At 39.5% G+C, this 9,397-nt stretch overlaps 2 long non-coding RNA genes across 2 annotated transcripts in view, besides 1 other annotated feature; one reads left to right on the top strand and one right to left on the bottom strand.

Moving 5' to 3' along the window:
* Positions 1-5,055, top strand: part of LINC02122 (long intergenic non-protein coding RNA 2122) — a 68,866-nt gene extending 63,811 nt beyond the window's left edge. The window contains exon 3 of the long non-coding RNA NR_183289.1: positions 3,306-5,055. This is a non-coding gene — a long non-coding RNA (long intergenic non-protein coding RNA 2122). The remainder of the gene's footprint in view (positions 1-3,305) is intronic.
* Positions 3,022-4,221: an enhancer, noted in NCBI's record as "CDK7 strongly-dependent group 2 enhancer chr5:73330922-73332121 (GRCh37/hg19 assembly coordinates)". NCBI's record gives its function as "activates an origin of replication core promoter dependent on BRD2, BRD4, P300/CBP, MED14 and CDK7 cofactors, with strong dependence on CDK7, by STARR-seq in HCT116 cells {active_cell/tissue: HCT116}" and the evidence as "EXISTENCE:reporter gene assay evidence [ECO:0000049][PMID:35650434]".
* LOC124901003 (uncharacterized) lies at positions 3,541-6,701 on the bottom strand. The gene is made up of 3 exons (XR_007058820.1): positions 6,416-6,701; positions 4,000-4,107; positions 3,541-3,624 (listed from the first exon to the last, which is right to left on the bottom strand). It is a non-coding gene; the product is annotated as an uncharacterized LOC124901003 (long non-coding RNA).
* Positions 6,702-9,397: the final 2,696 nt, after the last annotated feature.

Here is a 9,397-nt window from a genome sequence, read left to right as displayed (position 1 = left end):
AGCCTCCCTGGGTCTCGATTTGCTCCTCTATGAGGTAGCACTCATATTAATGTAAACCAAAAGTACCTGAGACAGGTCTGAATCAGTTTAGAAAGTTGATTTTTGCCAAGGTTAAGGACACACTCATGACACATCCTCAGGAGATCCTGACATGTGCCCAAGGTGGTGGGGTACAGCTCAGCTTTATACATTTTAAGGAGATATGAGACATCAATCCATACATGTAAGATGTACATTGGTTCAGTCCAGAAAGGCAGCATGACTTGAAGTGGGAGCTTCCAGGTCATAGGTAGATTAGATTTTCCAATTGGCAATTGGTTGAAAGAGTTATTATCAATAGAAAGGAATGTCTGGGTACAATAAGAGGTCATAGAGACCAGGGTTTTGTCATACAGATGAAGCCTCCAGGTAGCAGACTTCAGAGAGAATAAATTGTAAATGTTTCTTATCAAACTTAGAGTCCGTTCTACCAGTAATTCCAAAAGGGAGGAGGGTATAATGAGGCATGTCCAGCTCCCCCTTCCCATCATAGCCTGAACTTGTTCTTCAGGTTAATTTTGGAATGTCCTTGGCCAGGAGGAAGGGTTCATTCAGATGGTTGAGGGGCCTTAGAATTTTAATTTTGGTTTACATTAGTCAGCTTGGGCTACCACAACAATATACCATAGACTGAGTGCCTTAAACAGTGAATAATTATATCTCACTGTTCTGGAGACTGGGAAGTCCAAAATCAAGGTGATAGCCAACTTGGTTCCCCGGTGAGAAATTCTTCTGACTTTCAGAAATTCTTCTGCCTTTTCCCTGTGTCCTCACATGGCAGTGACAGGAGAGGGAAGCAAGTTGTCTGGAGCCGCTTCTTAGGGGGGCCCTAATCCCATTATGAGGACCCCACCCTCATGGCTTTATCTAAACCCAGTTGCCTCCCCAAAGGCCCATCCACAAATACCACTACACTGGGGGTTAAGGCATCAACATATGATTTCTGCAGGGGTGGGGAGGCACAATTCAGTCCATAGCAGCAGGACAAATAGTGTTTTCCTCACAAGATTGTTGGGTCTTAAATGAGCCAGTATATATAGAGTGCCTAGAACAGTGGCTGCCACATATTAAATGCATTATTTGTAAGTGCTAGCTGTTATTATTAAAGCCACATAAGCTGAGTCAAAAACTGGGAAAGGTCAAGTGTGTCAAGGCCTCACTTGCTGGGATGTATTTCCTTGGGGTCATATTGCTTCTCAATGGAAGGGAGAAAAATGAGCTTATTCTTGAGAATTAAGAATGGGCCTATTTTCATGCAAATATTGGCTTGGAGAGCCCCTTTGCAATCAATTATTACTAAGGTGAAAATCCTGAACCTCTCTACTCTCTGTGCTTTCATACCTTCCCGCTGCATTCTCATCTTTCACTTGTGATCAAATGCCTAACAATCTCAGAAACATGTCCACTTAGGGGATTACTCTTGTTAAAGAGTATTTAGCTTTTAATCCCACAAGGCACAAGCAGTTTGAAATATAAGACATCATAGAAAAAGAAGTATTTAGCAGGGTTAATCTTGGAGGTGAGAGGTGAAAAGGGGCGAAATGGAATCCAAAGGAAACCCATCTCAATGAAAATATGAGTTTTAAGAGGGGCAAGCAATGGTTAATTTTTTCAGCCTATCAGTAGCTCTAGAATGGTGTACAAAAATGTTTTACTCAGCTCCCATACCTTCTTCATAGAGAATACATTGAACTTCAGCTTATTTTCTACTGGAGGCACGCTGCTGGATTAAGTTCTGCATTCAGGAGTTGTGGCATTCATGTCCTTGGTTAAGCAAACGGAGATTTCAAAATCCTTTAGGCTGGAAGAACTGGGTCCTTCATCCCTTTTTTAAATTCTTAAGTCTCATTCCTTGCTTGTTTCATTTAGGCTGCTGAATTCATTGGCAATTGTTGACAACTTGACTGTTTTGATTGTTTCCATCTTAGACATTTCCATTGCTGTTAGACTATAAAGTTGACAGCCCAAATCCTAAAATACCTGGTTGGCCCGTTCAATCTATTTCTTTCCTGCTTAGTCCTCCTTTAGAAGGAATGAAGCAAGATGTTGTAATTAGAATGGTGATGAAAAAGTGTGAACATACACTGTCAATAGGGGAGTGGAAGGCACAGGTACTCTCATGCATTTTTTAAAATAAGAGCTTTATCGAGATAGAATTCACATATCATAAATTCATCCGTTTAAAGTATAAAATTCAGTGGGGTTTAGCATATTTATAGATGTAGGAGCATCACCACTATCTGAATTCAGAACATTTTCGTCACACCGAAATGAAATCCTGCACCCAATACCACTTACTCTTTAGCTCCTTCCTTCCCCCAACCCCTGGTGACCATTAATCGATTTCTGTATGGATTTGCCTATGCTAGATATTTCATGATATAGGAATCATATATTCTGTGGTCTTTTGTGGCCTTCTTTCACTTAATATTCTCAAGGCCTCATATATTCTTGATAGAGTATGAATTGGCTCGATATTTGAAGGAAAATATGTCAATATCAATCAGAACTTAAAGTACATGTACTCAGAAATTTTATATCCAGGAATTAATCTTTCAGAAATACTTCCACAGACATAAAAATAGTTATACAAAGACATTTAGTGCAGCATTGACAAAGACTGGAAAAACTCTAAATTCCATCAGTTAGAGAGGCCTGGTTGAACAGATTGTGGTTCACCTCTGCAGTGGAGTGCTATGCATTCATGCACAGATTGAATCAGTCCTGTATGGAATGGCGTGGAATGATCTCCAGAATTTATTGATAAGTGAACATGAGGGAACAAGACAAGGTACAGAGCAGTGTGTGAAGTTCTATCTATGTAAAAATATGTATATGTTATGTTTACGTGTGTATATGTATTTATGTGTGTGTGTGTGTGAGTGTGTGTGCGTGTGGAGAGAGAGAGAGAAACGGAGCAAGAAGAATATCTATCTCCGGTAGGAAGTCTAAAAATGCACTAGCAGTGGTTATCTTCAGGGAGGGAAAATGGGGGTCTGGAGACAGGGAGCGGAAGAGAGGAAGGGTATTGTTTGAAATTTACTTACCAAGTACACAGATTCTGAACATTTTAAATAGAGATGTGTATTAGGCAGCCACATGGGCATATTAGGGTCTGGGGACCACGCAGGAAAACCCACAGCCTCTTTCCTGCAGGGTTTTGTGGTCAGTCACAGTGGAGACTGACACCCCTGTAAAGACAAGTTTCAGTGAAACATAAAGATCTGTAATTTGAAGCTCAAAGATTTCTGTTCTTATCTTGCCAGAGGCCTGTTTTCACCTGCACAGCATTTCTACCTGCCCATGAAAGGCAGACTTACGCACTTTGATGTCAAAGACCAACCAGAAAGGTAACTTTAGAGATGCTCACCCGAACGCCCCCTGTGCACTGCCTCTCTTCAATGATCCTGACCTCATCGTACCTTTTGGGAGTGGCTCTGAGTCTGTGTTTCCACCACTGACTCCTTTGAAGAAGATCGTCAGCCTTGGGTCTGGAATGTAGCCCATTAATGTTCCCCTTGACCTTTGGTGGAAACGCTGCCATTTCCTGTCCTGGTTCCTCATCTTCTCTCATGTGCCTAAACACTGACCCCAAGTGGGAGAGAAGATACAGTCAAGTTCTTCGCCTTGACACTGTTCTCTGCAAAGTCAAAGTCACTTTCAGTCTTGATTTTAACCAGAGCTTATTTCCTCCCACCAGTGTTGGGATGAAAGTCAAAGATGAAGTGAAAGACAGATTGTGTAACTTTTATTTTTAAAAGAGTGTTTAATTTTGGAAGGTATGATTAATATTTCAATACTGCTTCTAATGGCTTCATTTATTTTTTTTTCAGCCAATAAGAAGTGAGAAATCCTGTCTCCGTAGCCAAAATCTCATATAATTCCTCCCCAGCAATACAGAAGTCTCTCTGTTGCTACCTAGAGTAAAAATGTCAATACACATCATGTATTAAAATTCACCTGTATTTTCTCAACACCTTTTCGATATCTTTCCAAATTGCTTTAGTAATCTCTGGCATCAAGAACTGGTAAGAGTATGTGGCATTTTCCTTCCTGTTTGAGTAACACCTATTAAGAGAGGTGGCAATTAAAATCAAATTGTAATTTTTAAACCTTAAGGGAAGCTATTGCAGTATTGCTAAGAACATTCAGTTACCGGTATGTTAGCTAACACCTACACCCGCTGCGATTAGCGATGAAACAAACTTCTACGGACCTTAAAAAACCAAACGTCTCCTTTAAAATAATCATCCTATGAGTAAACAGTCCTGTTCACACATGTATATGAGATGTCATCCTTTCTTTGCCGTTACAGCGCTCCGCCTTGCCAATGCTGCTGAGCACTGACTCACTCACAGGGCATTTGGAAGGTGGGCGATTTGTTCCTGCAGCATCATTGCACTCCAAATGTGCTGAGAATGGATGTAGCCTCCAATGCTGCCGTGCCAGCAGCAGCTTAGATCAGAGGGATCAGCAGAGGCTATTGTCCATTCCTCAGCAATGCACTTGACCTTGAGAGCTATATAGAATGGAAGGAAACCCACTAAAGCCAAATTCATGTCCTAAGATTTATATCCTTTTTAGGGATCCCACCCCTGGAACGTAATTCAGGTCCAAATCCTCTTCTTCTCCTTTCCAACTGCCACTGCCTTAGAGTAGTGGACTTATCTCCACCTGCACATTTTAGAGTCACTTGGGGCAAGGCAGGGGGCAGACGTTAAAACATACCAGTGTCAAGGTACCATCCCAGAGACTCTAAATTAATTAGTCTGTGTTGTGCCTGAAATGAGTACTTTTTAATACCTCCCTAGGTATTTCTAAAGTACAGCTAGGACTGGAAACCACTGGAGTCCAGCACAAGCCTTTCTCATTTCTTTCCTGGTTTATGGCAAATGCCTCCTGAATGCCCTTCATCTTTTGTGCCTGAGGCTAATCACCTTTAATGTGTTATAATGATTGAATTATTTTTGTATTAATCCATGTTTGATGTAGAAAAATGAGAAAATAAAAAGCAGAATGAAAAAAACTACAATCAGAAAAATGATACAATATTTTGTCTTTCCTACTGGATTTTTTATGTACATAAAATAACTATTTTCAAAAATGATATCCTGCTATAATTCTCTGTAACCTTCTATTCTTTGTTAACAATATATTATGGGTAAATTTCCATGTCAGTAAGTATAGATTCATATTATTTTTAATGGCTACATAGCGTCTGAGTGGGTGGCAGTGCCTTTGTATTTTTTAACCAATCCTTTGTTTCAGGGTTAGGCATCTACATTGTTTTGTGGGTTTTTGTTGTTGTTTGTGTTGTTGTGTTTTTTTGTATTTTGTTTAGCTATTACAAACAACATTGAAATGAGCCATTTGGAAAAAAATTTTTTTGTGAGTTGGCCAACTTCCTTAGGATATATTCCTAAAAGTAAATTTGTTAAATCAGTATATCTATTAATTTTTAAGAATTCTGACATTTGTTACAAATTGGTCTTCTAAACCACTCATATACAGGTAGTACTTAAGAGTCTGTTCTTCTAGTCCTTCACTAACGCTGGCATTACTGTATTCTTTTTAAATCTTTGTTTAATCTGGTAAGTAAAGAATGATAGCTACCTATTTTAATTTGTTTAGATTACTAGTGAGTTTGAACATTTTTCATCTGTTGTTTTTTGGGGGAAACTTTTGAATATCTCCTTTTGCAAATATCTTATTTTTGTTCTATAAGGCATTTTCTTTTTCTTGTTTGTATGTATGAGTCATTTCTATATCAAGGCTATTGAATATCCCCCAATTTGTCCTTTTTACTTTTTTTAAAACTTTTATCCTTTTAACTTTAGTGGTTTTGTGGTTTACTTTTAAATCTTTATATATTCAAATCTATCCCTCTTTTCTGTGTGGTTTTAACTTTTCGATGCCATATGTTGAAAGCTTTTCCCCAAGTTAAAAGTATATACTTACCTATGTTTTTTTCTAGTACTTTTATGGTTTTATTTTTTATGTAATTAAATCTTTGTGGCTAACTCTTAAAGTACAAATATGATCATGCCACTCCCTAAGACCTTTGCCGTCTCCCCATTGTGTATGTGATACAGTTCAAGTGTCCTCATGCCCCACACATTATCTGGTCACCCTTTAGCTTGCATGTCCCTCTCATCTTTGCTCATAGAGCTCTTTTTTTCTCTGCAATACTTTTTTCTCTGCAATACACTATGAGTCTTTTTCTCCATGTATAAATAGGCTATTACTTCAAGTTCCATGAAAATAGAGAACATGACTGCTTTGATAATCTCAGCACCCAACATAGTATCTGGAAGAAAATATATACTCAATATTTGTTAAAAGAATGAATAAAACATTACCTCCCCTGGTAACCTACCTCCAATGTCTCTGGGCAGAATCTGTCCTTTTTCTATTGCATTCCTAAAACACATCATTCTGATCACTGTTATCATATGATGTCATCATATTGTATTATAAATCATTGAATCTTTGCCTGTAAATCAGGCTCAGCTCACATTTTTATCCCTTGCTCCTTAGCAAGGTTGGGGCATGCAGTGGGTACTCAATACATGCTGTTGAACTCAGATGAATGAATTCTGACGAGGTCTCCCTGTCTTGCAGTACTGCCTTGGCATGTCCTTGTGTTAAGAAGTAAAGACCTTGACAGTCTGTAAAAAGACAACTAAATAATTAGGTGACAATACATGTGCCCAGGTAAAATCTACAGTCATTAATATGGGGTTAAAATAGTGCACAATAAAAATAGTGTCTCAGAGTAATAGTGAAGCCATGATAGTAATGCCTTCTGGCACCTGCTTCTGGGGCTATCCATTATGTCATTAAGAATCAGAGCATCAATCTGGCCCAGAGCCCTATCCCTGAATAAATTAAAATTTTTAAAAAGACCCTCCAGAATTAGTAGAGAATAATAGTAAGCTAACCAACTAACTTTTCTCCAAGAATGTTGTAGCTAAGCATTACTACGCTTCCTTTCAACAGGCAGTGAGAATTGAGTTACTCATACTGTTCCCCTTGGCTGCCTTTAACTTAGGGGTTTGATACAGATTTTTTTCCTAACCTTCAACTTTTTTTCTCCTTTTAAAATATTTTTACAGCTTTATGATATGTCTGCCTTTCATTACAAGCCACCTCAAATCCCTTTAGACAGTGGAGTTTCTATTATAAATAATAATAAAAAAATTTCCTCTGCCTCAATTCCCTCTGTCCCAAGTGCTCAATGCATGAACAACATAAACTGAGGCTTTAAGAAATAGGATTTCAGCCCTTTGAGAAAGCTGTATTACAAATTGGTTCCACTTCATAGCTTGGAAGAAAATTGGAGTTTTCTTTGGATGACATCAATGATCATAATCTCTGACATTTAACTGACCTTGGGCATGTCATTTTACCACTTCAAGTTTCAGTTTTCTTATCTGCAAAGCAACAATGCGGGTGGGTTCCTTCCCACCCCAGAACTGTATCTAATCATCTTTTCCAGGAAGATAGGGACAAAAAGACCACCCAGGCAGCACAGGGAAAGGAATCTCCCCTTCTATCTGGCCCCGTAACCCTACCTTCTGTCAGTTACTCTGCTGCAGATAAAGGGTAGGGGAGTCAATTCCCAGCCACATACCACCCCAGGGCTGCTCTGCCATTCATAGCAGCTCCCCACCATAAAGAAGCTGGATGATGAGCTGACCAAGCGTCCTGACTGGACTGCTGTTTATGGCATTGTGCTTTCATTTGTGTGCCCAAGAGGCGACTAGCAATAGGTTAACTTGGTGCTCCTACAAAGGAAAGTCTTTTGCTTTTCTTTCTCAACTATATCTTAGGTTTTAATTAATTAAATTAATATGGGGCTTAATAGCAGACATGTTTTGGACCTTGGAGCCTGTTTACCCTCATCTTACCCAAGGGGCACTGTGGACCCAGGCTAAGACGCTGCCAAAGAGTTTTCTGTGTCTAGGAGACAAAGCACACCCTGTAGCCTTCAGGAGTGCTGGGTTATCCCAAGCCCACCAAAGAGCCTGCAAAGAGTGTGCTAGCAGGACTGGGAACATTCGTCTCCTAGCTTTCTCTAAGAAGCAGGCACACTCTCCTCTTCACACTGTGGCCTAGGTCTGATCAAAGGCGGTAGAGAAGGTAGCTTTCCCTTCCACATCTGACCAACAAAAGCAGCCCCGGTGGGGGGAGACTGGAAGTGAGTATCGCAGTGGTTCCTCAGCTTACCTTATACCTTCCAGATAAGTCAGTGATACATGCCACAGGGCTGACTGTATTTTGAGGCCCTCCCATAGCTCCAGAAGCCAGCCCATTCTATCAGGCTGTACTCGGGACAAAGGAGGCAGCCCCAGCCCAGGTACTTAAGTAGACACAGCATTTGGCCTCAAGGTTAAGAGTACAGTCAGTGGTCCTAAACTGCCTTTTTTGTAGCTTGGTTATGGTAACTTGAGTGCAATTGTTTAACCTCTCCCTATCTCAGTTTCTTCATCAGAGAAAGGGGGCTGCTGTGATAGTTGGTACGTACGGAGTATATGGAACAGTGCCTGGTAGGGAATAAGTCCCGTAAAAGTTAATCATTTTATATACATCAAATAAGTCTGTTCTACCTCTTTTGTCCCCCCAGACGAAGCTCATAGAATGATTCACATTGATATTCATGTTTAAGCCTTAAGCCTTTTTTGTTCTTCTAAGACTTCCTTTGGTGGTGTACATTTTGATTGTATCTGCTGGAATAACAATGCTGATGGTTGGTGGGGTTGGGAGGAAGGATAGAGAGGGAGGGAGAAATAACATTAACTGCCTAAGAGATTTCTCTGAAAGAGCACATGAATATTGAATGATGACTTGATTTTACCAACAAAACCCATAATTATTGCTTTGCATCAAGGGTGAGGTTGACTTAAATCATCAAGACTTGAGAATGAACTCATAATCAGAAAACGTGGACTATTAAGTTTTGTTTGCTTGCTTGTTTTTGCATATATCTAACCCAAATCTTGTGTTATTTCAAATGGTGCTATATTTGCCTATGCTTGTAAATTGAATAACATCAATATGCAAAACTGATGCATTTTTCTTTTTAGGGAGAACATAATCTCCCAAAGCCACTCCATTGGTGATGTGACTTGATTTTTTTCTGAATCAAGAAATTTGGATAAACTTGGTGATTCAGAAGGATTGATTACTACAGATAACCCACTTATGCTTAACTAGGTCTTGAACCATGAATGCATGAACTTTAATTTGCAAGCCTCTTTCTCCACAGCTAGCCATGGTTAGAGAGAGATGTTATGGAGGAAGGACGAGTAAAACTCCAAGTTATTAAGGAGGAAAAAGAGGCTGCTTAGTTGATTAA

The sequence above is a fragment of the Homo sapiens genome, chromosome 5 (assembly GCF_000001405.40).
Source record: "Homo sapiens chromosome 5, GRCh38.p14 Primary Assembly".
NCBI classification, from domain to species: domain Eukaryota; kingdom Metazoa; phylum Chordata; class Mammalia; order Primates; family Hominidae; genus Homo; species Homo sapiens.
The sequence above is the reverse complement of the archived record's forward strand: the minus strand, read 5'-3'. Positions and strand labels throughout refer to the sequence as shown.